Below are 27557 nucleotides of genomic sequence, written 5' to 3'. Positions count from 1 at the left end.
TAGAGAAAGGGTTTCACCGTGTTAGCCAGGATGGTCTCGATCTCCTGACCTCGTGATCCACCCGCCCTGGCCTCCCAAAGTGTGGGATTACAGGCGTGAGCCACCGTGCCCAGCTGGCTGTACATCATTTTTAAAGGCAAAGGATATCCCCTCCCTTCCCTTCCCTTTCTTCCTGGTAGCTACAGCAGATGAGGTGGGAATGATGAGAAGATGGGGGAACAGCAAGATATGAGGAGACAGAGGCTGGCCCCTGATACCGAAGGGCCACTATTTACCCAGTGGGTCCCCAAATCATGAAGTCCTCTAAATACTTTCTGGGTTTCTAGTGAATTTAATGCATGAGTCTCAAAAATCAATGGCAAAGGAAAAAATGAATAAAATTAAAATGGGGTCAGGAGAAAAGGGCCATGGGCACACACAGGAGGGGCAGTCAGTGGCTGAGCTAGGAGCTGAAGCAGGGGAATTCCTTAGGTGTCATATCTCGTCCAACCCGTAGTCCTCCTCCGGGAAGTCCCCCACCGTCACGACTGCTGGCTTGACAAAGGCGCCATACTTGGCCTGGCATTCGAAGTAGCGTTTCCCATTCACACTGCAGGAAAGGATAGGGGTGGGTGTGGTCAGAGGACCCTCACATGGCTCCACTCTAGAAGCTGGCATGGGCAGCTCAGCAAGCAGCACGCATGGACTTACACACAAATGCACACACAGACACCTGAGTGGGAATTCTTGTTACCTGCCATCATTTTTCCCCAGTGGCTCATCATAGCGGACACCAATCCAGTAGCCAGGCTTGAAATCTGTGAGACCTGCCAACAGAAGAGAAATCCCTGTGAAGCTTCTGGACATAGAAGAAATCCCCATGAAATTTCAGGATCACCCTGGATCCATGCCTACCCATTGAGTAGAAGCCTGTCTTGGTGAAAACCATTTCTTGCTACCTCTATTGCTACCACTAGGACCACCTCCAGCTCCTGCCGGGACTAATATGGTAGCCACTTCACTGGTGTCCCTGCTTCCACCCCTGTCCCCCATTCACTGGGTGAAGACACCAGCCAGTGAGGGCTTTGTAAAAACCTAAGGGGGATGGCACTACTGCCTTGCCAGAGAGAGAGGCTTCAGAATAAATCCAACCTGCTGACAGCTTGATCTTGAACTTCTAGCCTCCATTACTGTGAGAAATAACTTTAAGTTGCTCAGTGAGTGGTACTTTGTTAGCAAACTAATACACAACTCAGCGACAAAAGACAGCATCCCAATGAAAAACTGAGCAGAAGAATATACAAGGAACTCAAAGAACACCCACTTTGCAAAAAAAAAATCCCATTACAAAGTGGGCAACAGGAAGTTGAGGCTGCAGTGAGCCACGATCATGGCCAAAGGACATGAACACACACTTCTCAAAAGATGACATACTGGCCGGGTGCGGTGGCTCACGCCTGTAATCCCAGCACTTTAGTAGGCTGAGGAGGGTGGATCACGAGGTCAGGAGATCGAGACCATCCTGGCTAACACGGTGAAGCCCCGTCTCTACTAAAAATACAAAAAATTAGCCGGGTGTGGTGGCGGGCGCCTGTAGTTCCAGCTACTCGGGAGGCTGAGGCAGGAGAACCGTTTGAACCCGGGAGGCGGAGGTTGGAACGAGCGAGCTGAGATCATGCCACTGTATTCCAGCCTGGGCACAAAGCGAGATTACGTCTCAAAAGAAAAAAAACAAAACCAAACCCCGACATACCGATGGGCGCAGTGGCTCATGTTTGTAATCCTAGCACTTTGGGAGATCCACCAGCTCAGGTGGATCACTTGAGGCCAGGAGTTTGAGACCAGCCTGGCCAACATGGCAAAACCCTGTCTCTACTAAAAATACAGAAATTAGCCAGGTGTTGTAGCGCTCACCTATAATCCCAGCTACTCGGGAGGCTGAGGCATGAGAATTGCTTGAACCCGGGAGGCAGAGGATGCAGTGAGCTGAGAGCACCACTGCACTCCAGCCTGGGTGACGGAGTGAGACTGTGTGTCAAAAAACAAAAGGCAAAGGATCTGAATAGACATTTCTCCAAAGAAGATACACAAATGGCCATGCAAAGATGCTCAACATCATTAGCTGCCAAAGAAGTGCAAATCAAAACCATGATGATGTTCCACTTCACACCCAGTGGATGACTGTAAGCAAAAGACAGACTAAAGTGCTGGTGAGGATGAGGACAAAATGGGACCCTTCTGCACTGCTGGCGGGAATGAAAACTGCTGCAGCGGCTGTGGGAAGCAGTGTGGCAGGTCCTCAAAAAAGTCAAGCACAGTGTTACCATGTGGCCCAGGGATTCCACTCCTAGGCACAGAGAAATGAAAACAAATGTCCACATAAAAATGTATTTTTTATTTTTTGAGATGGAGTCTTGCATGGTTGCCCAGGCTGGAGTGCAGTGGTGTGATCTTGGCTCACTGCAACCTCCGCCTCCCAGGCTCAAGCGATTCTCCTGCCTCAGCCTTCCGGGTAGCTGCGATCACAGGCACCCGCCACCACGCCCAGTTAATTTTTGAATTTTTAGTAGAGATGGGGTTTCACCATGTTGGCCAGGCTGGTCTCAAAATTCCTGATCTCAGGTGATCTGCCCACCTTGGCCTCCCAAAGTGCTGGAATTACAGGCATGAGCCACCATGCCCAGCCACACAGAAATTTATAAAAGAATGTTCAGGCCTAGCATGGTGGCTCACACCTGTAATCCCAGCACTTTGGGAGGCTGAAGCAGGACGATCACTTGAGCGGGAAGAGTTTGAGACCAGCCTGGGCCACATGGCGAAATCCCATCCTACAAAAAAAACCACAAAACTTTAGCCGGGGGTGGTGATGAGTACCTGTATTCCCAGCTACTCAGGAGGCCGAGGTGGGAGGATGGCTTGAGCCCAAGAGGTTAAGGCTGAAATGGCCGAGATTGTGCCACTGCATTCCAGCCTGGGCAATAGCCAGATGCTGTCTCAAATTAGAAAAAAAAAAAAAAAAAAAAGAAGAAGGTTCATAGCAGCATTATTCATAATAGCCAAAAAGTGGAAATGACCCTAATGTCCACTAACTGGTGACTGGATACACTGTGGTCTAGGCGCTCAATGCAGGACTATTTGGCAACAGTGTGGCACTGACACAGGCATGCCACGGATGAAACTTGAAAGCATTCTGCTCAGTGGAAGGCGCCAGTTACAAAAGGCCACAGACTGCATGATCCTATTCCTATGAAACATCCAGAATCGGCAAATTAGAGACAGACGTAAATTAGTGGCTGAAGACGACTGGGGGATGGGTACACACAGGCATAAAGACGGAAATACCAGACAGTGGGGATGCCAGAAACAGGAGGGTGGTGAGGGTTGAAAAATTATCTGTTGGGTACGATGTTCACAATTTGGGTCATGGGTACACTAGAAGCCCGGTCCCCACCCACTAGCAGGCAACACACCCATGTAACAATACATATATGTACCCCGTGTATCTTTTTTTTTTTTTTTTTTTGGAGACAGGGTCTCCCTCTGTCACCCAGGCTGCAGTGCAGTGGTGCGATCATAGCTCACTGCAGCCTCAACTCCCGGGCTCAAGCCATCCTCCCACCTCAGCCTCCCAAGTAGCTGGGGCACCTATAGGTGCTCACCACCACAACTGACAAAAGTTTTGTGGGATTTTTTTTTTTTTTTTTTTGTAGAGACAGGGTCTCATTATGTTGCCCAGGCTGGTCTCAAATTCCTGGGTTCAAGTGATCCTCCTGTCTCAGCCTCCCAAAGTGCTGGGATTACAGGTGTGAGCCACTGCACCCAGCCTTTTTTTTGAGACTGGGTCTTTCTCTGCTGCCCAGGCTAGGGTGCAATGACACAATCATAGCTCACTGTAACCTCCAACTCCGGGGCTCAAGCAAGCCTCCCACCTTGTTCTCCCAAAGTGCTGAGTTTACAGGCGTGAGCCATCATGCCTAGCCTGTTCTTTTTAAAAAAATCCACACTGCTCTCCACTGTGACGCCGCCCTGCCCATGCCCCTGACTACACTTCTCCCCTCTCCTCCCGCTCCCCTTCCCCAGGTGGACCTCCTGCGCTCTGCTCACCTGCACCCGCTACTCCTTCTGGCGGGAACTCTTCCTCCCTTTTCACCTGGCTGCTGCCTCCTTTCCTTCAGATGCTCCCAGCCTCCAGGTGCTTCCTCTGGGCTCACACAGCCCCCTGTGTTCCCTCACTCCTGCCTTGGTCACGCCGCCCGTTTCCCCACCGCGACTGACACTGCCCCACGCTTCGAAGCGCACAGGCCGCGTGCCTCTGGCTTCTGCTTCCTCCCTCGCTGGACAGATCACTCCGCCTGCGCCTCCCACTTCCCTCCACAAACACTCTGGGCCGTCAGTGTCGGCAGATGGTTCCGTCACCTCCAGGGACTGAGATCGTTTCGAGTCCCCCCCAACCCCGCGCCCCTAGGCAGAGCGTGGTCTCCGAGGCTCCACTGTGCCCCCAACATTTCCTCCCGGCCTTGGAGCCCTGGAGCCCGGGACCGGGCCCGCGAGCCACGCACCTACATACATGACGGTGCCCCGGCGAGGGGATTGTCCCGCCGCCCGCACCTCACAGCGGCTGCCCACGGGGATGGAGCTGGCCTGGGCCTTCTCCTCGGCCAGGCGCTGGGCGGCCTCGGCCTCCTGCTGAGCCCGCTCCTCCTCGTTGTACCGGCCGAGCTTGCTGCGCTTCAGGAAAGAGCGGACCGTGTCTGTGGGCAGAGGGGGCTGGGGTCAGTTGGGGTGTCGGCCGGGCCTAACAGGATGACGCTCCACCCACGAGGGGCCCACGTTCACGGAGGAACTCTCTCTTCCAGGTGACAAAGGGCTGTCACCCAAGCCCCAGGTCTCCCACCACAGCCTTAGCCTCTCCCAGGACTCCTAGGCCCCCCAACTCCACAATCGTAAATGGAAGGGGTGCCGCCTGCACCCCTCACTACAGGACCCATGGTCTCTCACCCCTTCAGCGCACATCTGCCTTCATCATCCGCCTTCCTCCTCCGCCCTCCTCCGGCCCTGAGGCCCCCGGTCTCCCCCAACACTCGATCCGTCCCAGGCGCCCTCACTGACCGCCACCCTGTCCACTCGCATTCCACCTGTCCTGCCCTCCACACCCCGTCCGACCGCCCCATGCCCCCATCTGACCCTGACAACACCCAGCCCCCACACCTACCCCTCAACTCCCTCCACTTTCCCAGCCCTCCCCCGACCACGTCTGACTGCCCATACCCCTGACACCTCCCGGCCCTCATTCCCACCCCAGGCCTCCGTCTGTCCCCACTCCCAGCCTCACCCCTATATCCTCCCAAGCTCTCGGCCCCCCGTCTACACCACTGGCCTCCCTGCAGGGGCCCTGTCTAACCTGCCCGCCCTCATACCTGCACATACTCCCTCTGGCCCCCACGCACCCCTCGACGCCCACCTGCCCGTACCTTGCCTCTGGTCGTAGGCTTCTTGTGAGATCGTGTACTTCTCCACCCGGGACACGTCCTCATACTCACCAAGGCGGGCGCCACTGTGGTCAATGACCTGTGTGAGGGGAGGGGCTCCGTGGGGATCAGGGTCTGGCCAGGGAGGCCTGGGTGCTGGGTGCAGGGACTTCAGTGTCTCCATCTGGGAAAAACGCATCTCCCTCCCTCGCCTGTACTGCAGCCTTCTCTTCTCTCCTGAGCCCAGCGGAAGGGAGAAGTAGCTACGTACACTGGCCACCTCCCCTTCCTCACCCCCATCCAAGCTCCCAGAGGCTGCCTCTGTCCCCAGAAGTTCCCCGCTTGCTGGCATCAACATCGCCAAGGGCCCCAAAGTCACAGAGTCCAACCGGCAGAGCTCAGGCCTTGCCCACAGCCCTGTGCACAGCGCATCTCCTCGATGGGCCTCTGGGACTCTCCTAAGCTGGCCCCAACCTCAGGCCCCAGAGCATCTCTTCCTGTTCTGCCCCCACTATTCATTCATTCATTGGTTTCCGAGCTCCCAGGGGCCCAGCTGGGCCTCATGCTGGGGACTCAGTGTAAACACAGACGCACTCTGCCCTCAGGCTGTGCTCATTGTGCAGGGAGAAGGCCAACCACAAACAAAGGAACAGGTACCTATGAAACACTGGAGGATGGCTATGGAGAAAAATATGACAGGGAAGAGGCTTAAGGAGCATGGGAGGGTAGGCTTCCCAAAAGAGGGGATGTTTCAGCCAAGGCTGGAAAGATGAGCAAGAACGGCAGGTGCAGACGGCCAGAGGTAGAAATGTCCTTCACGCTCTAGAGTGGGTGGTGCGGGTGGGGTGGAGCGAGCCAGAGGGAGAGTGGAAGACACAAGGGACTGCTGGAGACTTTGGGTTTTTTTTTTTTTTTTGACGGAGTCTCGCTCTGTCACCCAGGCTGGAGTGTGGTGGTGTGATCTCAGCTCACGGAAACCTCTGCCTCACTGCAAATTCAAGTGATTCTCCTGCCTCAGCCTCCCGGGCAGCTGAAACTATAGGCACACACCACCACACCCGGCTAATTTTTGTATTTTTAAGTAGAGACGACATTTTGCCATGCTGGTCAGGCTGGTCTAGAACTCCTGACCTCAAGTGATCTTCCCACCTCAGCCTCCCAATGTACTGGGTGGGATTACAGGCACGATCCACCGCACCTGGCCTAGACTTTGGTTTTTATCTGGAGCGAAGTGCCACCAGGGCAGGGCTCTGAGCTAGGAGGGCCCTGGCCTGACTCAGGTGGTCCCAGGCTCCCTCTGGCTGAGATGGGGAGCGGGGAGGCCAGGGAGGAAGCTGCCGGGATGGCGAGGTTGGGGGAAGGATGGAGGCTGGACCAGGGTCAGGGAAGTTTTTGTAGGTGGAGCCGAGAGGATTTGATGAGAGTGGATGTGGGGGTGAGGGAGAGAGCGGGCCCAAGGAACACCCTGAGGTGTCTGGCCTAAGCCACTGGGCTAACATGGCAAAATAGGAATGGCCTTTACCTCCGGATGAAGCGTCACTGAGAATTTCTGTTGAGAATTTTCACAAATTTGAAGTTCTGTTATTTTAAACAATGAATATGGGTGATATTTATAAAGAGAAAAAGAATTTTAGAAAATGTAAAAATTCCCCAGTGGCTCCACTCTGGAACACCTTCCTTGAGTGGCCTGGGAGGTCTGTGTGTACCTGAACCGCCTGTTATGAAACCTGCTCAAAGATGCCACTGCCTATGAGGTGCCTATGAACACCCGCACCCCTTAGCTTCAGCTGCCCAGGGTGGCCCAAAGGCTCAGTCCTGTGCACCCAGCAGAGGCCTGACCCACAGCTCCAGACCTCGTCCCCTCATCAGGACTCTCACAGCAGCCCCTTCCTGGTCTCCCTACTCTTCCTGTCCTCCACCACCTGTTCCCCACACACAGCCAGAGGGGGCCTGTGAACACCTGAGCCAGGTCAGGGTCCTCCCCAGCTTCCACAGTGTTTGGCCACAGAAGTGGCCTGTCTTAATCCCCACCGCGCTCCCTCCCACCTTGGAGTGTTTGCTGGGTTGTGCCCCACTCCTAGGGCACCCCTTCCCCATCTTCAGTTAACCTTTTTTTTTTTTTTTTTTTTAAAGATAGGATCTCACTCTATCATCCAAACTGGAGTGCAGTGGTGTGATCTCAGCTCACTGCAACTTCCAGCTCCTGGGTTCAAGTGATCCTCCTGCCTCAGCCTCCTGAGTAGCTAGGATTACAGGCATCTGCCACCACGCCCAGCTAATTTCTGTATTTTTAGGAGAGACGGGGTTTCACCGTCTCGAACTCCTGACCTTAAGTGATCTGTCCACCTCAGCCTCCCAAGGCACTGGGATTACAGGCGTGAACCACCATGCCCGACCAATTCTTTTTATTCTTCTCGTCTCTGCTCCAGCAGCACCACCTCCAGGATGTCCTCCCAGACGTCACTGATGCATCAGGTACCCCAGGATAGGGTCTCCCAGCTTCATGATCTCCTACACAACCCTTGTCTCCCCTGACCCTTCACATTCAGTCCTCTGGCCATTTAGCCAACATCTGCCTCATACACTAGAACTTCTCAGATGCAGTCATAATGAAACCCCTGGCACAACACAGATGGGGAATGAACAGTTAATCAACGAGAGAAAAAAGAAGCAGTTCTCTCTAGAGTCATGTAGACTGGGGCCAAAATGCTACTGACAGTTCATCCTTAAGAAAGTAGATTCTGGGCCGGGTGCGGTGGCTCATGCCTGTAATCCCAGCACTTTGGGAGGCCGAGGTGGGCGGATTACCTGAGGTCAGGAGTTCGAGACCAGTCTGACTAACATGGTGAAACCCCGTCTCTACTAAAAATACAAAAATTACCCTGGTGTAGTGGCGGGCATCTGTAATCCCACCTACTCGGGAGGCTGAGGCAGGAGAATCGCTTGAACCGGGGAGGCGGAGGTTGCAGTGAGCCGAGATCATGCCACTGCACGCCAGCCTGGGAGACAGAGCAAGACTCTGTCTCAAAAAAAATAAAAAATAAATAAATAAACTCCACCCTGAAGCTAAATTTTCTCTTCTGCAAAATGGGGATAATTACATTATCCTTGTGGTCTTACTTTATGGATTCAATTCATCATTCAACAATGATTCACAGGGCTGGGCGTGGTGGCTCATGCCTGTAATCCCAGCACTTTGCGAGGCTGAGGTGGGCAGATCACTTGAGGTCAGGAGTTCAAGACCAGCCTGGCCAACATGGTGAAACCCCAACTCTACTTAAAATACAAAATTACAAAATTAGCCAGGCGTGGTGGTGCACACCTGTAATCCCAGCTACTTGGGAGGCTGAGGCAGGAGAATAGCTTGAACCCAGGAGACAGAGGTTGCAGTGAGCTGAGATCACACCACTGCATTCCGGCCTGGGGAACAAGGGCAAAACTCTGTCTCGAACAAAACAAAACAAAAAACGATTCACGGACTATCCTCCCTGTCCCAGGCACTATTCCAAGTACTGGGGACACAGTAGTGAATTATAGTGATCAAAATTTCCACCCTCAGGGCACTCGAATCCAGGGAGACAGAGAGTAAATAAACCAGATGAGAGAAATCCAGAGTGTGTCAGAGGAGAATTACTTGTAAACACAAAAATCTAAAATAAAGCAAAGAAGGGGAAAGGAATGAGGTAAACGTTAACACTGAGGCCGGTGAAGACTTCACTAGAATACTGACACTTTAAATTAAGACAGGAAGGAAGGGTGAGGCACGCAGGCATATGACAAAAGAACCATTCAGGCCCAGGATCCAGAGGCCGAGCTCACCTGGACTGTGCAAGGAGCAATGTGGCTGCTACAGACTGAGTGAGGTCGGGAGGGAATAAGGACAGAAAGGGGCTGGGCTTGGTGGCTCACGCCTGTAATCCCAGCACTTTAGTAGGCCAAGGTGAGCTGATCACTTGAGGTCAGGAGTTCCAGACCAGCCTGGCCAACATGGCAAAAACCCATCTCTACTAAAAATACAAAAATTAGCTGGGTGGGCACCTGTAATCCCAGCTACTCGGGAGGCTGGGGCACAAGGATCACTTGAACCCAGGAGGTGAAGGCTGCAGTGAGCCCGATAGTGCCACTGCACTCCATTCCAGGTTGGGTGACAGAGTGAGACTCTGTCTCAAAAAAAGACAGAAAGGATGTACTGAGTGGATGCACAAAGAGATCCTGTGTTCTGGTTTCTCCCAAGCTGTCCAGCCTGGTCGCTCACTGTGACCTACCTCACATTCTAGGCCTCTGTACACCCTGCTCCCTCCTTTCCACCTCTTTCTCTTAAGTCACCCTTTCCTCATCCCTCAGCTCAGACATCCCTTCCTCCAGGAAGCCCTCTCTGATTCTCCCAGGTGGAGTCAGGCACCTCTTCTTGGTGGCTCCAGTCCCCTGGGATTTCCTGATCCCAGCCCAGACCACTCTAGGCTGTCCCTGTCTAATGATGGGTCTGTCTCTCGTCAGGCTGCACTGGAGGCTCCACGAAGGCAGGACCTATCTCGGGTATGACTGAGGGCAAAGCCCAGCAAGTGTCTGTTGAATAACCAAATGAAAGGTGGGGTGGGGGAGTGTCCCAGATAGAGAGTCCTCACGTGGATGCGGCAGCCGTCATCTACAGGGTAGGAGCCCAGGAGCGCATCCTCTTGATCCAGCTTGCTGTAGAACTTGTCGTCAACTCCATACAGCTCCAGTTCCATGCAGGAAGCAGGGCTGCCCACCAGCAACTCCAGTTTACACTGTGAGGAGGAGGCAGGGTGAGAAGAAGGAGGCCACGGAGGCCCCGCCCCTTGCATCAATGACCATCGCCACGTCCCTTTTCCTCCAAAAGACCCCCCAGTCAGGACGCACGGGGCCGCAATCCAGCCCCTCGCCTCTTGCCCCCGCCCTCTGGACCGTCGGATTTTTCGCTGGACCCGGCCCTCATCTCTGCACTCTCGAGTTCTCTCCGGACCCGCCCCGCCGCGACCGGGTCCCCAGCCTCCGCAGCCTGGGATCACCTCCGGGCCCGCCCAGTCACTCCCCGGCCCCTCCCAGCCTCCCCCTTCCGGGAACCCCCCAATTTCTTCGCCCCGCCCCTCCGGACCCCGCCCCCATGGCCACACCTTGAACTCAGCGATGGTGAGGCTGCGGCTGTATCGCTTCTCGGAGCGGAAGGTGTTGAGGGAGCTGCTGATGAAAACGGTCACCGTGGGTGCCGACACCCCCGTCACCTCCATCTTGCCGCGCCCTGCGGATGCCTGCAGCGCGGTCCAGCCGCCTCACACCCGCTCCGCAGCCGCCGCCGCCGCTGCTGCTGCTGGGCTATCAGCCCCGCCTCCTGCTCCGTGCCTGACCAATCCGCGCTCTCCTGCCAGGAGCGTCCGCCAATCGCCGCCGTCCCTTCCCCACCGCCAGGAAGAGGGCTCTCCTTACTCTTGGGCCAGCCCAGCCAATCCAGAGGGGCCTTCCATAGTTCACGGTTCTTCCAATAGCGGCCCGGGAAAGGACCAGAACAGGCGGCGAAGACTGAAGCCCGGAGGTAGGAGTGGCAAGAGCTCGCCCAGTCCGCGAAGGGTAAACTCGCGCATGCGCACTGGCCTTCAACCAAGCCAAGCGCCTTGGCTTCTGTCCTGGATGCTCAGTGTTTTGCGGTTTACGATGCGCATCGTTTTCCCGGCTCTGGCACCAGATCCATACTATTCTGTAAACTGAGGCGGCGATGCCCAAAAATTGGAAGCAATTACTCTAAGATATCAAAAGATTGAAGCAAGCCATGAAACCTCTGCGCGGAGAGAGCCGAGCCCGAGGCGGCGGGGAGCCAGCACGTGTGCGCAGCTCCGCCCTCTTTTGGCGAAGCACCTAGGCCTGGCCCCTCCCGCGACCTGTAGCGCGGCGGAGCAAGCGCGGAAGGCTGGGAGGGCTGCGCGGGCTGCGCGTCGCCATGGAGCCCGACGGGACTTACGAGCCGGGCTTCGTGGGTATTCGCTTCTGCCAGGAATGGTGAGGCGGAGGGAGCGGGTGATGTTAGAAGGCGGGCGAGGAATGGCTCCAGAACTAACCCCTGGCACCTCCCCCTCCCCACAGTAACAACATGCTGTACCCCAAGGAAGACAAGGAGAACCGCATTCTGCTCTACGCGGTGAGCGCCGGGGTCTTCCCCGGCAGGTCCACCTGTTCCCAGCGTGGCCCCGCCCTGCCCCCTGCCTCTGTGATCGGACTCCCTGTTCGCCCTCCGCTGCACCTCAAGTGATCCTGACTCTCATGTCCTGCCCATCCCCAAAGAGAGTCCTGTCGTCATATCCTCCGGGATCACCCTGCCCTCTCCTCCCAATCTTGTCTGGAATCCTTCCGTGACCCCCTTTCCCCCACACTCGCCCTCTCGTAGTGCCGGAACTGTGATTACCAGCAGGAGGCCGACAACAGCTGCATCTATGTCAACAAGATCACGCACGAAGTGGAGTGAGTGGCGGGCCCTGAGCTGGGGGCGGGGGTGTTGGCTCTGGAGGCTGGGTCTGAGCGTAATTTTGCACCCCCGCGTCCCTGCAGCGAACTGACCCAGATTATCGCCGACGTGTCCCAGGACCCCACGTTGCCGCGGACCGAGGACCACCCGTGCCAAAAGTGAGCGTTCAGCTGGTACTGGGGAGGTAAAGTGAGGCTCGTCTCCTCACTGGGCGAAGGGAGGAGGGAAGGGTGTGAAGCCTCCGGTGACCGAGCCCCTACCCTCTCAGGTGCGGCCACAAGGAGGCTGTGTTCTTCCAGTCACACAGTGCGCGGGCCGAGGTAAGTGGCGCGAGGGCTTTCTAAGTATCTGGGGCTTGTTTGGTCCTTTCTGGGGGCGGGGATATCAATGTGGGTGACCCTGCGCTTCTTGGAACTCTGCCGGGCCCTTACCTATTGGTGAAGTTCTCTTGCCTGTTCTTTTGGGGTAAGGCGCTGCTGGGTCCAAATCCTTCCTAACCATGCATCATTTCTGCCAGGACGCCATGCGCCTTTACTACGTGTGCACAGCCCCACACTGCGGCCACCGCTGGACCGAGTGACCTCCTCTCTCCCCCGAGTGTAATAAACACCAGATTCCATGCGTGAGTTTTCTGTGTTTATTTGCCTCGTGGGGAGGACGCTGGCACACCGTATCAGGCTGCGCGGTGCAGGGCGCGGTGCTGTGCGTAGGTGTCGGGCCGGGAGCTGGTGAAGCCGCAGTCCTCGCACACGTGCAGCTTCTCGCGGCGCTCACGGTAAGCGTAGCTGGCCGGCTGTCCATGCACCTTAGCAAGGTGAGCTTCCAGGGAGCAGCGCTGCGTAAACGCTTTCCCGCAAGCACTGCAGCGGAAGGGCCGGATCCCTGCACAGATGGGCGCAGAGGGGAGGGCTGGACAGAGAGGGCAATGGGCTCTGGACTAAAGCGCCCCCACCCTGCTTTCCAGTGTTGAGCATTTCTGGTACCTATTCCAAGCTCTTCAGACTCTTCCGCCCATGACCCACCATCTGCTACCGTCACCCAGTGCAGACATGGGCCAGACACCTGTGTCTCCACTCTCCCTCACCAGGATGCTCCCTCCCCTGGGGGATGGAGAGGGAGGCCTTCCCTTGCCTTTCGATCTGGAGCCTGAATCGTATAACCGGCATCCGTCTGCACTCTGCATTCCGTGACAGGCCCCTATTTTGGTGCCACCTTACACCCACCCACTGGGGTCCGAGAGACATCATGTCTTGATTCTCCATACCCCACATACACAAACCATGGACACTCCACAGCCCAGCACCTCTCTCCATTTCCTTCCATCCCCACCTGGGGCCCAGCAACTTTTCCCTGTCCCTGCCACTGCTCACCAGTGTGAGTCCTCATGTGGCGCTTGAGATCGAAGGCGTCATGAAAGCCCTTGCCACAACAGCGGCACAGGTGGCGGCGCACGGGGCTGTGGCACTTGAGGTGCCTTGTCAGCATGCGCTGCAGAGGGAAGGCCTTAGGGCAGAGCGGGCAGCCCAGCGTCCCAGGGCCCCTGGGAGCAGAGGTCAGGTTGCCCTGTGTGGGCTGCTGGAGGGATGCAGGAGTTATTAGCCTCTCTGGCTGGACCCCATCCACCCTTTGTTACTCTGCAAATGAGTATTTACAGAGTGTCCTGAGCCACCACGGAGGATTAGGAAGGCAGGTGGGAGACAGTGATTAGTGTGTGTGCCTGTCACTCTCCAGGGCCTTCCCTCACTATCCCATGGTCCTTACTTTCTCTATGCCAAGTCCCATCTTCTGATGTGACATACACATTTTTTTTTTTTAAAGACAGAGTCTTGCTCTGTCGCCCAGGCAGGAGTGAAGTGGTATGATGTCAGGTCACTGCAACCTCCGCCTCCCGGGTTCAAGCGATTCTAGTGCCTCAGCCTCCCCACGATTACACGATTGTAGGCATGCGCCACATGCCCAGTTAATTTTTTTATTTTTTGTAGAGATGGGGTTTCACCATGTTGGCCAGGCTGGTCTTGAATTCCTGACCTCAAGCAATCCACCCACCTTGGCCTCACAAAGTGCTGGGATTACAGGCATGAGCCACTATGCCCGGTCTATTTTTCTAATTTTATTGTTTTTTTTGAGGGGGGATGGAGTCTAGATCTGTTTCCCAGGCTGGAGTGCAGTGGCGCAGACTCGGCTCACTGCATCCTCTGCCCTGCCTCCTAGGTTCAACTGATTCTCCTGCCTCAGCCTCCTGAGGAGCTGGGATTACAGGCACGTGCCACCATGTCTGGCTAATGTTTGTAATTTTAGTAGAGACAAGGTTTCAACATGTTGGCCAGCCTGGTCTCGAACTCATGACCTCAAGTGATTCACCCGCCTCGGCCTCCCAAAGTGCTGGAATTACAGGCTGACTAATTTTATTGTCTATACATGCAGCCCCAACCAGAATATAAGCTCCATAAAATTGTGGATTTTTGTCTTATTCCCGCTGAATATAACAGCCCATGCCTAGAACAGTGCCTTGCTTTCATGAATATATTACATTCCGGCTGGCGCTTTCCTTCCTCCAATGCATGCACAGCTGAAAAAGCCCTTATCTCCCATCGCACTCCTGTTGCCTTGTCCCATGTTCTGACATAAAGCGGATCATCCACATGTGGGGATGAATCTTGTGCCCCGCTGGAAGAGATCCCTGTGGCTGCCGGCCCTGGTGCCTGGGGTGAGACCTAACAGTAGAGAGCTCACTACTAGGAAAGGAGAGGCATTCCCAACACAGAGAAGTAGGGGCGGACAGGTCCCGAGGCTGGAGGGCGTGTGCAGATGGGTCGGGGGAGCAAGGGGCTGTCAGCTTCATTAAGGCTGAGAGCAGGCAGGAGCGAAACAGCTGGCTTTGCTAGCCAGTTACACACTCACCGCTGTCCACGGATCCCTGACACTGGACGACTGTTGTGCCGGTGGCCCCCCCAGGCTGCTGCAGTCTGAGGAGAAAAGCCAGATGGTGACACTGCGTCTCTCCTGCCCCTTACCTCCAGGCACAGTGAGGGGCCCACCTGGGATATAGGCATCTCCCCGGAGCTGGTCAGGCAGATGGCCCCAGTTGGGGGGCTGTGGACGCCGACTCCTGACCAGGAAGGCGCGGGGCATGCCCTCCGGAAGGCTCTCCACACACAGGGGCTGCTTCCACCTGCTGTCAGACCTCAGCCCCAGGATGACTATCCCTGGTGGGAAAGGAGGGGAAGCCTCTGAGGAACCTCATTCTCTTCATGCAAATTTCCTGGCTGGCCCTGGGAGTGGACTAAGCTGGCTCAGGTTACCCCTGCCTGGGGACCTGCCCATCTTCTCCCAGGTTTTGGAGGGAACCATCCAGCCTCCAGGGGTGGACAAGCACTAGGACCACCAAGCAGAGCCAGGCAAGGGGAGATGGGCCTGGGGAGCTTTTGAGGATAGGAAGAAGAAACAAGGCCCCAGGGGGACTGTCTCCCAGGGGTTGAGGGTCTGTTTGCCAGGCAAATCAGTCACCAGGGGACATCCAGCAGCCTGCCTGGTTATTCAAATCACAGCAGCTGTCTGAGGACACTGAAGGGGCCCCCTGCTGTGATTGCCCTGCTCTGTAGGGTGCAGGGAGGACAGCAGATCTGGATAAATCAGGGCAAAATGAGGATCCAGGCTGTGCATCCTCAGGTAGGATGCCCCACCTCTCTGATCTTCAGATTCCCAGGGCTAACATTCAGCCAGAAGCACTGTTCAGGTGTAGCAGGCACTAAAATACTAGTTTGTTAATAATCTAGCCCCTAGTTACTGCCTGGGACAACACTCTTCCTCCCTCCCACAGTCTGGAAAGTAAAAGGGGGTCTCCTATTTTTTTTTCTTTTTTTGAGACGGAGTTTCACTCTTGTTGCCCAGGCTGGAGTGCAGTGGCACCATCTTGGCTCACTGGAACCTCCACCTCCCGGGTTCAAACGATTCTCCTGCCTCAGCCTCCTGAGTAGCTGGGACTACAGGCATGCACCACCACACCGGGCTAATTTTTGTATTTTTGGTAGAGACAGAGTTTCACCATGTTGGCCAGGCTAGTCTTGAACTCCTGACGTCAAGTGATCCGCCTGCCTTGGCCTCCCAAAGTGCTGGGATTACAGGCATGAGCCACCGCACCTGGCCCAAAGGGGGTCTCTTGACACAGCCAGGGGCTCCCAGGACCCTACCCCGGCACACTGGCCAAGCTGTTTTACACTTGATTCTTAGCCAGAAGACTAAGAAGCAATCCAAGCTCTGTTTTTTAATTTTTTTTTTTTGAGGCGGAGTTTTGCTCGTTGCCCAGGCTGGAGTGCAATGGCGTGATCTTGGCTCCTCTATGACCTCCGCCTCCTGGGTTCAAGTGAGTCTCCTGCCTCAGCCTTCCAAGTAGCTGGGATTACAGGGGCACACCACTGCACCCAGCTGATTTTTTGTGTTTTTTGTAGAGATGGGGTTTCACCATGTTGGCCAGGCTGGTCTCAAACTCCTAAATGCAGGTGATCCGCCCGGCTCAGCCTCCCAAAGTGCTGGGATTACAGGCGTGAGCCACCGCGCCCAACCTGTTTTTATTTTTTTTGTTTTGTTTTGTTTTGTTTTTTGAGACAGATTCTCACTCTGTTGCCCAGGCTGGAGTGCAGTGGTACGATCTCCACACACTGCAGCCTCCGTCTCCTGGGTTCAAGCGATTCTGCTGCCTCAGTCCCCCAAGTAGCTGGGACTACAGGTGCGCACCACCACACCCGGCTAATTTTTGTATTTTTAGTAGAGATAGGGTTTCACCATGTTGGGCAGGCTGGTCTCAAACTCCTGACCTCGAGTGATCCACCTGCCTCAACCTCCCAAAGTGCTGGGATTACAGGCGTGAGCCATTGCGCCTGGCAACTAAACAATTTTCTAAGCTCCAGACCTAGCTTACTGAAAATGATCGCGTAAGTCCATGAAGGAGGCACACCAGTGACAGCCCAGAATGACCAAGACAGTGAGAGGCAAGTGAGGCAGAGACCCAGCCATGATGGGGAAAAGAGGGGTACCTGGGGACCCGAACAGGCTCCTGATCCAGGCTACGGGTACAGGGATGGCTTCCTGGATAAGCGCTGAAAGGTTTCAGATGAAAGGGGAGGGTGTTCTAGTCAGAGGGGGACATCTGTACAAGGCTTGCTGGTGAGAGGAGTATTTCTTCATTTCTTTACATTGCCCGAGAGTCAGTTGTGCCAATTCATTTGGGGAAGCAAGGGTGGCAGTGCTGAGGGTCTGCTGGCCATGCATTTCCGCTTGCTCTCTGCAGGACCCAGAGCAAGTCATTTCTCATTGGGCCTCGGTTTCTTCACCTGGAAAATGAGACTAAGGAATCTCCCTCTTCCCAGTTTGTATTGAAGATCCATGTAGCTCACATGGAGAGAATGCTTAGCATGGGGCCTGGCATGTGGCAGACATATAAGCAGGGATTGGTTAGGAAGGTTTTTTTTTTTTTTTTTTTTTGAGACAGGGCCTTGCTTTGTCACCTAGGCTGGAGTGCAGTGGAGTGAACACAGCTCACTGTAGCCTCAAGCTCCTGGGCTCAAGTGATCCTCCCACATCAACCTCCCAAGTAGCTGGGACTACAGGCGTGCACCACCACACCTAGCTAATTTTAAAATTTTTTGTAGAGGTGGAGTCTTGCTATGTTGCCTAGGGCTGGTTTTGAACTCCTGAGCTCAAACCGTCTGCCTGCCTTGGCCTCCCAAAGTGTTGGGATTACAGGAATGAGCCACTGCATCCTGCCGAGGAATCCCTCCTCTGGGCAAACATCCAGGCCTCAGGTGGGTCATCTGCAAAATGGGGTTTCAGGTGGTGTCTCCATTTTGCAATTGTTGGCTTTCCTGCAGCCCTGACTGGGATGCCTGGCACGGGCCTGGCAGCTCAGGACCCAGGAGCTGTCCTGATGGTACTGCTATGGGGAGGCCAAGGGTAGATGTGGGGGTAGAAGCAGGGGGGGAGTTGCAGTGAAAGATGAACTGTTTTCCTTCCAGGGACCCAGTTCCCCAGGAACCCTCTCAGTCCTGTTCTGCCCTGCTCCATGGCCTAGGAGGTTGACTGGAGGCGGGGTCACCTGGGCTTCTATGCACTCTGGCTTCCAGTAGGATTTGGACAATGGGGTGCCCTGCAGGAGGGGAGTAAGGTCAGGGTGTTGATTCTCACTCCGTCCTGTGTGGGAGTCAGGGCTGCAGCTCCCTCAGCACTACCCTCTCCCTGGGATTTGCTCTTTTGGGTTCTTGTTCCTTCTCTTTGTGCCTTGTGGCCTGGGGGTGGTAACAGCTCCCAGGGTGCCAGTCCTGGGGTTCTGCACCAGCCTCGGTGGTTTCCCAGTCCCTGCTGCTCCTTTGCAAATGATCCCTTGGTTAAACTCTTTGGAATATCCCATCTAAGCATGCTGTCATCTTTCTGCTGGGACCCTGTCAGCTCACAAACCACATGCACACATGCTGCACCACCAGCAGTGGCTTCTTAACCAGGTGGTTTATCCTGGTTAAGAAGTATGGAGAAAGTATGGTCCTTCCAGGACAGAGCCTGGCATTTGGAAGAGGGAAGTGGCAGACATGCTGGATCCTCTCTGATTACCAGCCCACTTGCCTTTCTTATTGAGAGAACCTCTTTGTTTGAGCTGCAACATGCCCAGGACAGGAGAGATGGTCCAAGCACATCAAAGCAATCTCCATTCCTGTTGCCTGGGACTCATCTGACCCCAGATGAGTCTCCCAGGGAGACCCCTGGGAGAGATCTGCATCTTTTCTGCTGCCCTAGAGGGTGCCCTGCTCTGTGCCTTTGCTCCTGGTTGGACCAGGCCACCCAGCAGCTGGGACCAATAACTTGGGCCTCTGACCCTCATGTCATTGTGCACCTGGCCTCTTCCTCTCCTGCTGTCACCCTCTGTGAGCCCCCTGCACTCCACATCTAACCTCAGCCTCCCCATAGCAGTACTATCGGGGCAGCTTCTAGCTCCTGCGCTTCCAGGCTTATGCCAGGCACTTCAGTCAGGGCTGCAGGAAAGCCAACAATTGCAAAATGGAGACACCACCTGAGGGTGTGCTGCTGGGTGCCACAGCAGCCGTGTTGCAACCATGAGGCCATAAGCTGGAGACTGAAGCTTGCTCACAGAGGATAACAGAGCAGGAGAGGAAGAGGCCAGGTGCATGATGACATCAAGGGTAACCAACGTCCCTCCATCTTGGGCCCTGAAAGCCAGGTGTTTACTCCTTGGAGCAGAAGACTTTACTATGATACAGGTTGGAAGGAAGGGTAATTCCATGCATGACAGAGGCCCAAGGTGGTCTCCTGGGTGTCCGAGGCCTGGGGGGCTGAACACCAAGCTTTGCCCAGGGATGTTGGGCAAGGTTTTGGGCAATGGTGGCCGAACTAGGCAGATGGGCCTAGGCCTAGGCAGGTGGTTCAAGTTCTGGACCACCTGGACTCCCTGAGGCAGAGTCGTGAGAAATAAGCAACACTGGATATCCCCCAAACATTAAGAGCAGAGATTTAGAAACAAACCCAAAAACAAAAAACTGTTCTGGATATTCCTTGGACTTAAATGTTATGAAGCAACAAGGCCCTGCTCCTCCTTGCACCTCAGCTCCTGCCCTCCCCTTGCTCACTCCATTCCAGCCGTCCGGGCTTCGCTCCTCTTGCTTCCACACAGATCACGTGTGGCTGCCCCAGGCCTGTGCACTGGCTGTGCTGTCGGCCTGGATGTGTTCCTGAGATGTCCTCTATCAAGCTTCAGCCCAAATGTCACCTCGAAAGGCCTTCCCTGACCCTTCACCAGCAATGGATCTCCCCAACCTATCTAGAATTATACAGAGCTCTAATTCCTGCATCTGTTTGACTGTATAGAAGGTGAGTGGCCATGAGGGCAGGTGCGTTGCCTGATGTTCCTTCTGCTACAGTGCCCGGCACCTGGGTGGGAACTGGCAGGATTTTTTTTTTTTTTTTTTTTGAGACTTGCTGTGTCACCCAGGCTGAAGTACAATGATGGTGTGATCTCAGCTCACTGAAACCTCTGCCTCCTGGGTTTGAGCGATTCTCCTGCCTCAACCTCCTGAGTAGCTGGGACTACAGGTGTGCACCACCACACCCCAGCCAAGAGTGGCTTTTTTAGCAGACACCCCATGTGGCCAGATGCCTGCTGTCTGGGGGAGCTGGTAGCAGTGCTGGGAGCTCGTGGAATGTAGAACTTCTGAAGGGGAAGCAGTTATTGGTCCCAGCTGCTCGTGGCCTGGGCCTGCTGCCAGGATCATACAGTGGGCAAGCCTGCCTGGGTTTCTTGTTTTATTTTGTTTTATTTAAAGAGACGGGGTTTTGGCCAGGTGCGGTGGCTCATGCCTGTAATCCCAGCACTTTGGGAGGCCGAGGTGGGCGGATCTCCCAAGGTCAGGAGTTTGAGACCAGCCTGGCCAACATGGCAAAACCCCGTCTCTACTAAAAATACAAAAATCAGCTGAGTATGGTGGTGGGTGCCTGTAATCCCAGCTACTCGGGAGGCTGAGGCAGGAGAATCGCTTGAACCCGGGAGGCGGAGGTTGCAGTGAGCCAAGATCGCACCACTGCACTCTAGCCTGGATGACACAGCAAGATTCCATCTCAAAAACAAAAATAAATAAATAAATACATGAAATAAAGAGATGGGGTTTCACCAAGTTGCCCAGGCTGGTCTCAAACTCCTGGCCTCAAGCGATCCTCCCACCTCAGCCTCCTGAGTAGCCGGGATTATAGGTGCAGGCCACCATACCCAGCTTGGGCAAGCCTGTTCATGGGTCCTCAGTTTCCCCTGTTGCAGATGGGGACACCACCACCGTGGACTTTGTGGGATCTAGTGTGGCCTTGGCCCAGAGGCCCTGAGCCATGATATGGCAAAGCGTGGACTGCTGGGCAAGGTAGGCACATGGTGATCACAGCAGCCCCAGTGAGTTCTCAGGCACTGGCAGGGGGCAGGTAAGAGGGTCTGGCTCCTCCCTGGGGCACAAATGGGCCCCACTGGGTAAGCACCTCACACTGGTCTGTGGCAGCTCTGTGGGCAGTGTGGGAGGACTGGCCCTGAGGTCATGGCTGCAGTTCCTGAACTTCTTGGGAGCGCTGGTCCCATGCTCTCCACTGACAGACACGAGTCCTCTGGGCATCACCTTCTACCCTCCCTCCCCACTTCCACTTGAAGAGGGCTTTGTGGATAGGCCCAAACAGACACCAGGAACCATTCCTCAAAGCTGTCAGTTTATTCGCTTAAAATACCTAAGTCCTCAGAAGCAGCAGGGCTGCGGTGGAGGGGCTGCGCCCTCAGTGCCCCCGTGCCTTCCTCCGCACGGCCTGCACCAGCAGCTCCGAGTAGTGTTCCAGCAGGGCCTGCAGGTCTGGGCTGGCCAGGGGGTACAGCGTCGGTGGGGACGGGGGTCCTGGGCTGGGCAGAGCCTGGGCTGGGGCCACACTAGTCCCCACCAGGCATTCAGCCTCCAGCTGGCTGTGGATCCACAGGAAGGTGGAGACCAGCTCAGTCCGTGCCTGCTGCTGCCCGGTGTCCACCTGGCCACTGGAGACCAACTGCAAGGGATGCCAGCCTTGTCAGGGGCCACCAAGGCCGGGCGGTCTCAAGAGACCCCTCAACCCTTTCCCAACTCTGGGGCTTAGCTCACCACACGGTAAAGGTCGAGGGCTTCTTGGAAGGTGGTCTGCAGCCTGTGCAAGATGTTCCCCACCCTGCTCAGCTCAAGGGGAGATGGGGGCAGGGCTTCAACCGGCACCCAGGGCTCACTCCAGCGGGCAGGGCTGCCCTGTAACAGACCAAGTGCACCTGGGGTAGAGAGAAGGGAATGAGCAAGATGAGCTGCATTCCATTGGTGTGAGCGGCCAGAGCGACTGGGTGGACTCCATGCTGTACTTCTGTCTGGAACACTTCTCTGGGTCCCCAAGGCTCCCTCCCCTTCACTCCTACAGGTCTCTGCTCCAATGCAGCCTCCTCCCTGAAGCCTCTTCTTATCTTCTGGTTTGTAATCCCAACCCCTGTCCCCACCCTGCACTCCCTCGCCCTCCTCTGTCCCTCCTAAGCATGTGTCACTTCGTGATACATATGACGGGTTCCTTAAAGGTTTAGTCTGGGCATTGTCCCCATTGAAGCTGTCAGTTCTCTGTGTTGTTTACCACCATGTCCCATGTCCCAGGGTTTAGCACAAAGCCCAACATGTAATGCTCATTAAATATTTAAGTTAATGCACGAATGAATGAATGGCACAGTCCCTGTGGCCAGGTCAAGTATCCATCTTTGGAGCTGAGCCAACTAGCACACAGGATGAGCTTAGGGGACAGTCCTTGCTCCAGGGCTGTACTCACCGGAGGTGGGCTCCAGGAGGGAGGCAGTGCCGCCAGGGATGCCAGGCCGGGCCTCTGGAAGCTGGGGGTTACTGGGGTGGGCAGGAAGGCCAGGGGACTCAGGAGCTGGGAGACTTGGGCGAAAGGCAGAGCCGTGGAGCCTCAGGGCGCTCTCTTCCACAGGGCTAGGGGCTGGGAAGCTCACTGCAGGGACGGTGACGCCAGGCTGGGTATCCACGGGGGGCTGCAGGAGCCCATCACAGGCACTTGACAGGGTCAGTCTCAGGTTGGCCCGGGCCTCGTGGTTGCCCCAGGAACGCAGGGCAGGCTCTTGGCCCTCACTGTCCAAACTGGGTGTTGTCGCGGTGGTGATGGCCTGAAGCTCCTGGCCCAAGGAGGCCAGCTCCCCAACGGACGATGGCCTACGGAGGGGCTGGGCCAGTGTGGCCACGATAGGGCCCTCACTGTCACCGAGGGAGATGCTGCGTGATATCCTGGCACGGGAGCTGGCAGTGGCCTCCATGTAGGAACAGGTGGAGGGGGCATGGACACCCTGAGCCAGGCCTGGGGTGGGTGCAGATGTGGGCGTTGGGAGATTCCTGTCTGTGGGCAGCACGGAGGAAGCAGGGACACAGGACGCCAGGCTCGTAAGGCAGGGAGCTGTAACGGAAGCAGATGGCACTGACTCCACCACACAGAACTGATGGCTAGGGCCCCCACGCCCCACAGCTAGGCTGGACATCCGGCCACTCGCCGAGAAACCCAGGACTGTCCGTCTGGGACTGGGGCACTCACGTGGTGGGCGCCAGGCCTCCAGGGTCTCTTCAGCCTTCCCTGCAGCGAGGACCTGCAGGCACAGCTCTGAGGTGAGGACAAGGCCTCAGGGTTCCCAGCCCCGTGCCCTGACGGAGGTGGGCCCAATACTCACGTGGGTCCTGTCTGGGGAGGCGTAGCCAGTACCTGCTCTGGGCTGGCTTCCGCCTCGGTCCATGAGCTTGACCTCTGGAGACTTCACAAGGCACTGGGTTGCCCGGGGAGGGAAGGTATGGGTGAACCTGTGGGGAGGAGAGCAGGGGGGATGATTCTCATTCAGCCTGCCCTGGGGCACTGTTGAGGAGCCAGAGGGTGGGCAGTGCTTGGCCAGCTTCTACCTGGATGCCTTCTGGAGGCTTGAGAGGAACTGCGTGGAGATACTCAGGCGTGGGTTGAAGAAGTGGTCTTCAGCTTCAGAGGCCTCCACGTCTCCCAGAGCTGCGGGGAAGAGCTCTAGGGGAAGATCCCGAGGGGACCCTCATAACCCTTCCCGCCGAGCAGCCCTGGCCCTAGGCCAGCCCACAGCCCAGCGGGGCACTCCCCAGAAACCCTTATGTACAGACACAGGGTACGAGCAGGGGCAGTGGGTGAGGAGGCATCGTGAGGCTCAGGTCAAGAGTGAAGCAGTGGGCCGGGCACGGTGGCTCACGCCTGTAATCCCAGCACTTTGGGAGGCCAAGGCGGGCAGATCATCTGAGGCAGGAGTTTGAGACCAGTCTGGCCAACATGGTGAAACCTCATCTCTACTAAAAATACAAAAAATTAGCAGGGCGTGGTTGTGGATGCCTATAATCCCAGCTACTCAGGAGGCTGAGGCAGGAGAATTGCTTGAACCAGGGAGTCGGAGGTTGCAGTGAGCCAAGATTGGGCCACCGCACTCCAGCCTGGCAACAGAGCGAGACTCCGTCTCAAAAAAAACGAAGCAGTTGCTCTCCACTCACCCTCCTGGCCCTGCTGGGGAGCCAACTCCAGGGACGCCAATGCTGTGCCCAGGCTGCACAGACGGCCTCGGCAGGTGTGGGTGAGGCAGGGCCCTACCTCTGCAGGGGGACTCAGTCAGTGTCTCAAAGTGGTGGCGGAGGAACTTCTCCTGCTCCGGAGTCTGGGGTAGGGAGCTGCTGGGGACGCTGGGTCCCTCGGGCAGGGACAGCTCATCTTCTGTGGGACCTGCGCATCCTGACAGGGAAGGAGGGGAGGGACAAGAGGAGCCAACACCATGAGTCACAGCAGACGCCACCTGAAATGGAGAAAGCGGGCCCCACCCATCCCTGCCCTGTTGCCCGCAGGCTGAGAAGCAGGGATCCCCGTCTTCCAGGCTCAGTGGGCTCCAAGTGCAGGGCCTGTGCTTAGACATTGTGACTGGCCCTAAGCCAGGCCCGAGCAGCGAGTCCCCTGCGTGTCTGGCCCCTGCTTACCTGGGAAATGGGGCAGCGACGTGGCAAACCGAGGGGCAGGGTCAGGAGGCGGAGCTGGGGAGTGGATGGCTGCGAAGCTGCACTCCAGGTCGGCCTCTGACTCCCCCGAGTCTGAAGGACAGAGTCGGGGTCAGGAGCCCACAGCCTGACCATTCTGGTGAGCCAGGGCCAGGGCTACCCTTCCCTGGGCTCAGTTTCCCCATCTGGAGGAGGGATGGTAAGAGCAGCTGCCCCCCATTTTATGAATAAGGGAAGTTCCACATCAAGGAGGTGGCAGAGCTGGGCTCTCAGCTGTAGGCAGCTGGGCCCAGAATCCTCAGGCAGCAGCAGGGACCACATGTGTCTTCCTCGACAGACTCTGAGCTTCAGTACTGGGTCAAAGTCACCATCGGTGCCCAGAAAGGGGCTTGGCTGAACGCACAGACTGTCACAGGGTCCCTGCCTGCCCTGCACTCACCCTCAGGCGGGCTCTGGTCCTTTGGGCTGTCGGAGGACACCCTGAGGTAGGAGTCGCCCTGCTGGTCTCCAGGCCCGGCCTCCACCTCCTTCCTGCAATACTGGCTGCAGTGCCAGTGGGGGCAGAGAGGGAACAAGGACTTCAGCTGGAGACTCAACAGCTAGCCCCACCCGGAGCCCCTAGGCACCTGTACCCGCTGCTCCTGCAGGAGCACTGCGACAGCCTCCCCGCCTCCTCCAAATGCCCCCTCCTTCCCCCAGGTCAGGCCCTCCTGTACCCCACCTGGAACCAGGGAACTAAGGCTGGGCTCCTGCCCCATCCAGGCCTCAACTGTCCCCACTCCCACAAGCCCACTGGGAAGGCAGAGAGCACTTCTTCCAGGATGCAGCTATCAGCTGGGGGTTCCTCCAACTAAGGCTCCCTTGGTGGAAAGGACACCCACCTGTCTGTCCCTGTGACTGTCACTTCTGCCTCCAGAGAGTAGAGGATGAGCTCACTGGCCTCAGATGATTCCTTCTGCTGGGGCAGGAAGGAGGGGTGCCCGCGGCCAGCTTCCTGGGGACTCTCTGACTATGGGGAAGACAGCACAGCCATTCTGAGGCAGGCATGGCTGGGGCCACCAACAGTGCGCCAGGAACCATGCCAGCAGCCCCACTGCTGGAGGCTGTGAACCAGGGCCTGTGCCATGCCCTCCACTCGCAACCAGCTTGTCCTGGTCTGCCCCTGCATTATCAGTCCCTTTACAGATGAGGAAGAGGTGTGGCACCAAAAATAGGAGGCCCAACCCTCTACGTGTCTATTTATATCAAGTTCAAGAATAGGAAACCCAGTCCTTGGTGAGAGGTCAGAACACTGGTTATCCTGGTGCGGGGACCTGACTGGGAAGGGCAGAAGGGGGTTTCTATGAGGTAGAAAACACTCCAGATTTTGCCCAGGGTAGTGGACACACGTGAATTACACAGATAGTTCATCAAGCTGTATACCTAAAATCTGTGCATGTTACTGGATGTATATTATACCACAATGAAGATGACAAATTATAGGATAGGATAAAAATGAATTTTGTTTGGAAAATAGTAGAGAAAGAGCTAAAGTTGCACGGGCACCTCTAAGAGCCCAGGCCCTATACTTAAGCATGGATTCCTGTAAAAGCCCTCTGGGGCAGAAGAGATTGTTATTACCATTTAAAAACAAAACAAACAAAAAAATTTAAAAAATATTTTTGTAGAGGTGGGATCTTGCTACGTTGCCTAGGCTGGCCTTGAACTCCTCAAGTGATCGTTAAGTAATCCTCCTGCCTTGGCCTCCCCAAATGCTGGGATTACAGGTGTTAGCCACTGCCCCTGACCCCATTATGACTACTTTTTAGAAGACTGAAGCCCAAAGAGGTAAGCCTCTTACTCCAGGTCACACAACAGGAATGGGTAGGGTCAGGGCTCGATCTACCCAAATGTCCCCCACTTGGGTACAAGCCTGCTCTAGCATCCAAGCTCTTAACCCCCAAGTGACCCACTTTCCAAAGACTCCCTGTCTGCCTTGGGAAGTCTTGCTGTGCAACAGACCTGGGGCTCACCCTCCTGCCCTTCACCATCTCATGTAATCCTCCCTGCCCCCATGGAGTGGGAGTCAGCCTAAGGCGCCAGGCCCTGGGGCCGTCACGGTGCCGGGGCTATGGGCCAGGCTGCGGTGGAAGTGTGTACCTCACTCAGCAGGCTGGCCAGGCTCTGTGGCTCCAGTGAATCCAGAATGGAGTTCTCCAGACTCTCGGGCTTCATGGGGGTAAAGTAGCAATCCAGGTCCTGGGCATCCAGGATGGTCTTGAGGGGCTCTTGGCCGGCCCGCTCTGCCCAGCGGCCGTGGGGCTGGTAGCTGCGCTTGGCGTGGAAGGCCAAGCCATCTGCCACATCATCGTCCCCTAGCTTGAAGGATATCGGACAGTCAGGCAACTGGCTGAGTGCTCACTCACTGCAGGGAGCGACACGGACATTTCACACAGCCCATCTGGACTCTTGGCTTTCAATACCATTCAGAAACAACTTCCAGGTACATATCTCCAGCGTGAACCTTTCTCTGTTTTTTTTTTTTTTTTTTTTTTTGAGACGAAGTCTTGCTCTGTCTCCCAGGCTGGAGTGCAGTGGCGTGACCTTGGCTCACTGCAACCTCCACCTCTCAGTTTCAAGCAATTCTCCTGTCTCAGCCTCCAGAGTAGCTGGGATTACAGGTGCCCACCACCACACCTGGCTAATTTTTGTATTTTTAGTAGAGATGGGGTTTTGCCATGTTGGCCAGGCTGGTCTCAAACTGCTGACCTCAAGTGATCCGCCCGCCTCGGCTTCCCAAAGTACTGGGATTACAGGCATGAGCCACTGCGCCCAGCCCATTTTGTTGGTTTTTGGTAGAGGTGGACTCTCACTATGTTGCTCAGGCTGGTCTCAAACCCTTGGGCTCAAGGAATCCTGTTTCGGCCTCCCAAAGTGCTGGGAATGCCCAGCTGGGATTCATGAACTTTTCTCTGAAACTTCAGAATTGCACATGTGACTGCTCTACATTTCTGTATGGATGTCTGGTAGGTATTTCAAAGTTAACATGCTGACAACTCAACTCATTTCCTCTGCACA

General features: G+C 55.8%; 4 protein-coding genes across 28 annotated transcripts in view, besides 7 other annotated features; 1 reads left to right on the top strand and 3 right to left on the bottom strand.

The window, feature by feature from the left end:
• Positions 1-315: 315 nt before the first annotated feature.
• On the bottom strand, positions 316-11290 carry TBCB (tubulin folding cofactor B). 3 transcript variants are annotated; one of them, NR_155756.2, is made up of 6 exons: positions 10583-11290; positions 10073-10216; positions 5451-5547; positions 4084-4730; positions 734-806; positions 316-589 (listed from the first exon to the last, which is right to left on the bottom strand). NR_155756.2 is itself a non-coding variant. In NM_001281.3 (6 exons), the coding sequence occupies exons 1-6, from the start codon at positions 10694-10696 to the stop codon at positions 475-477; spliced, it is 735 nt and encodes a 244-aa protein (NP_001272.2). In that variant the 5' UTR covers positions 10697-10789; the 3' UTR covers positions 316-474. The 3 variants fall into 3 exon arrangements, 2 of the variants coding, with proteins under 2 accessions (NP_001272.2, NP_001287900.1); NM_001281.3 differs by having other exon boundaries at positions 4539-4730; positions 10583-10789; NM_001300971.3 differs by lacking the exon at positions 10583-11290 and adding an exon at positions 10329-10487 and having other exon boundaries at positions 4539-4730.
• Positions 10059-10148: an enhancer, noted in NCBI's record as "active region_14516". NCBI's record gives its function as "activates an Ori minimal core promoter by ATAC-STARR-seq in GM12878 lymphoblastoid cells {active_cell/tissue: GM12878}" and the evidence as "EXISTENCE:reporter gene assay evidence [ECO:0000049][PMID:35858748]".
• Positions 10459-10548: a silencer, noted in NCBI's record as "silent region_10547". NCBI's record gives its function as "represses an Ori minimal core promoter by ATAC-STARR-seq in GM12878 lymphoblastoid cells {active_cell/tissue: GM12878}" and the evidence as "EXISTENCE:reporter gene assay evidence [ECO:0000049][PMID:35858748]".
• A 91-nt stretch (positions 11291-11381) lies between the features above and the next one.
• POLR2I (RNA polymerase II subunit I) lies at positions 11382-12548 on the top strand. Its single transcript, NM_006233.5, has 6 exons — positions 11382-11459; positions 11544-11598; positions 11845-11918; positions 12006-12080; positions 12191-12242; positions 12440-12548. Exons 1-6 carry the CDS (start codon positions 11401-11403, stop codon positions 12500-12502), a joined length of 378 nt encoding a protein of 125 aa, NP_006224.1. The 5' UTR covers positions 11382-11400; the 3' UTR covers positions 12503-12548.
• Positions 11739-11868: an enhancer, noted in NCBI's record as "active region_14515". NCBI's record gives its function as "activates an Ori minimal core promoter by ATAC-STARR-seq in GM12878 lymphoblastoid cells {active_cell/tissue: GM12878}" and the evidence as "EXISTENCE:reporter gene assay evidence [ECO:0000049][PMID:35858748]".
• Positions 11887-12398: an enhancer, noted in NCBI's record as "H3K27ac-H3K4me1 hESC enhancer chr19:36604761-36605272 (GRCh37/hg19 assembly coordinates)". NCBI's record gives its function as "activates a minimal SCP1, AML or CMV promoter by ChIP-STARR-seq in primed H9 embryonic stem cells {active_cell/tissue: H9 hESC(primed)}" and the evidence as "EXISTENCE:reporter gene assay evidence [ECO:0000049][PMID:30033119]".
• OVOL3 (ovo like zinc finger 3) lies at positions 12546-15114 on the bottom strand. Of its 2 annotated transcripts, none has more exons than NM_001302757.2 (4): positions 14961-15114; positions 14824-14888; positions 13293-13497; positions 12546-12804 (listed from the first exon to the last, which is right to left on the bottom strand). In NM_001302757.2, the coding sequence occupies exons 1-4, from the start codon at positions 15052-15054 to the stop codon at positions 12596-12598; spliced, it is 573 nt and encodes a 190-aa protein (NP_001289686.1). In that variant the 5' UTR covers positions 15055-15114; the 3' UTR covers positions 12546-12595. The 2 variants fall into 2 exon arrangements, with proteins under 2 accessions (NP_001289686.1, XP_016882680.1); XM_017027191.2 differs by having other exon boundaries at positions 13293-13494; positions 14961-15054.
• Positions 14255-14884: an enhancer, noted in NCBI's record as "H3K4me1 hESC enhancer chr19:36602275-36602904 (GRCh37/hg19 assembly coordinates)". NCBI's record gives its function as "activates a minimal SCP1, AML or CMV promoter by ChIP-STARR-seq in primed H9 embryonic stem cells {active_cell/tissue: H9 hESC(primed)}" and the evidence as "EXISTENCE:reporter gene assay evidence [ECO:0000049][PMID:30033119]".
• Positions 14885-15515: an enhancer, noted in NCBI's record as "H3K4me1 hESC enhancer chr19:36601644-36602274 (GRCh37/hg19 assembly coordinates)". NCBI's record gives its function as "activates a minimal SCP1, AML or CMV promoter by ChIP-STARR-seq in primed H9 embryonic stem cells {active_cell/tissue: H9 hESC(primed)}" and the evidence as "EXISTENCE:reporter gene assay evidence [ECO:0000049][PMID:30033119]".
• WDR62 (WD repeat domain 62) overlaps positions 15112-27557 on the bottom strand; it is a 56249-nt gene continuing 43803 nt past the window's right edge. For 8 of the 22 annotated variants that reach the window (NM_001083961.2, NM_001411145.1, NM_001411147.1 and 5 more), the window contains 11 exons: positions 26640-26858; positions 25382-25509; positions 24940-25043; positions 24483-24593; positions 24106-24243; positions 23406-23520; positions 23183-23309; positions 23050-23101; positions 22276-22914; positions 21582-21739; positions 21149-21489 (listed from right to left, as the gene is read on the bottom strand). In NM_001083961.2, the coding sequence (NP_001077430.1) occupies positions 21229-21489; positions 21582-21739; positions 22276-22914; positions 23050-23101; positions 23183-23309; positions 23406-23520; positions 24106-24243; positions 24483-24593; positions 24940-25043; positions 25382-25509; positions 26640-26858 (2052 nt within the window). In that variant the 3' untranslated portion in view covers positions 21149-21228. Of the gene's footprint in view, positions 15129-21148; positions 21490-21581; positions 21740-22275; positions 22915-23049; positions 23102-23182; positions 23310-23405; positions 23521-24105; positions 24244-24482; positions 24594-24939; positions 25044-25381; positions 25510-26639; positions 26859-27557 lie in introns of those variants that run through there. The other 14 variants (XM_005258809.3, XM_047438659.1, XM_047438663.1 and 11 more) reach the window with 5 other exon arrangements.
• Positions 25149-25650: an enhancer, noted in NCBI's record as "H3K4me1 hESC enhancer chr19:36591509-36592010 (GRCh37/hg19 assembly coordinates)". NCBI's record gives its function as "activates a minimal SCP1, AML or CMV promoter by ChIP-STARR-seq in primed H9 embryonic stem cells {active_cell/tissue: H9 hESC(primed)}" and the evidence as "EXISTENCE:reporter gene assay evidence [ECO:0000049][PMID:30033119]".

This window comes from Homo sapiens, chromosome 19 (assembly GCF_000001405.40).
Source record: "Homo sapiens chromosome 19, GRCh38.p14 Primary Assembly".
Classification (NCBI taxonomy): Eukaryota; Metazoa; Chordata; class Mammalia; order Primates; family Hominidae; genus Homo; species Homo sapiens.
Note: the sequence above shows the minus strand (reverse complement) of the source record. Positions and strands in the feature narration are given on the sequence as shown.

Excerpts from the sequence above, each read along its gene's own strand:
- POLR2I (NM_006233.5), top strand. The coding sequence starts at position 11,401 with ATGGAGCCCGACGGGACTTACGAGCCGGGCTTCGTGGGTATTCGCTTC. Across the intron at positions 11,919-12,005 it reads AAGATCACGCACGAAGTGGA|CGAACTGACCCAGATTATCG; the intron begins GTGAGTGGCGGG and ends GCGTCCCTGCAG. Across the intron at positions 12,081-12,190 it reads GAGGACCACCCGTGCCAAAA|GTGCGGCCACAAGGAGGCTG; the intron begins GTGAGCGTTCAG and ends CTACCCTCTCAG.
- TBCB (NM_001281.3), bottom strand. The coding sequence starts at position 10,696 with ATGGAGGTGACGGGGGTGTCGGCACCCACGGTGACCGTTTTCATCAGC. Across the intron at positions 10,217-10,582 it reads TCACCATCGCTGAGTTCAAG|TGTAAACTGGAGTTGCTGGT; the intron begins GTGTGGCCATGG and ends TCCTCCTCACAG. Across the intron at positions 590-733 it reads CTGGGGAAAAATGATGGCAG|TGTGAATGGGAAACGCTACT; the intron begins GTAACAAGAATT and ends CCTTTCCTGCAG.
- OVOL3 (NM_001302757.2), bottom strand. The coding sequence starts at position 15,054 with ATGCCCCGCGCCTTCCTGGTCAGGAGTCGGCGTCCACAGCCCCCCAAC. Across the intron at positions 14,889-14,960 it reads GGGAGATGCCTATATCCCAG|ACTGCAGCAGCCTGGGGGGG; the intron begins GTGGGCCCCTCA and ends TTTTCTCCTCAG. Across the intron at positions 12,805-13,292 it reads CCACATGAGGACTCACACTG|GGATCCGGCCCTTCCGCTGC; the intron begins GTGAGCAGTGGC and ends CCATCTGTGCAG.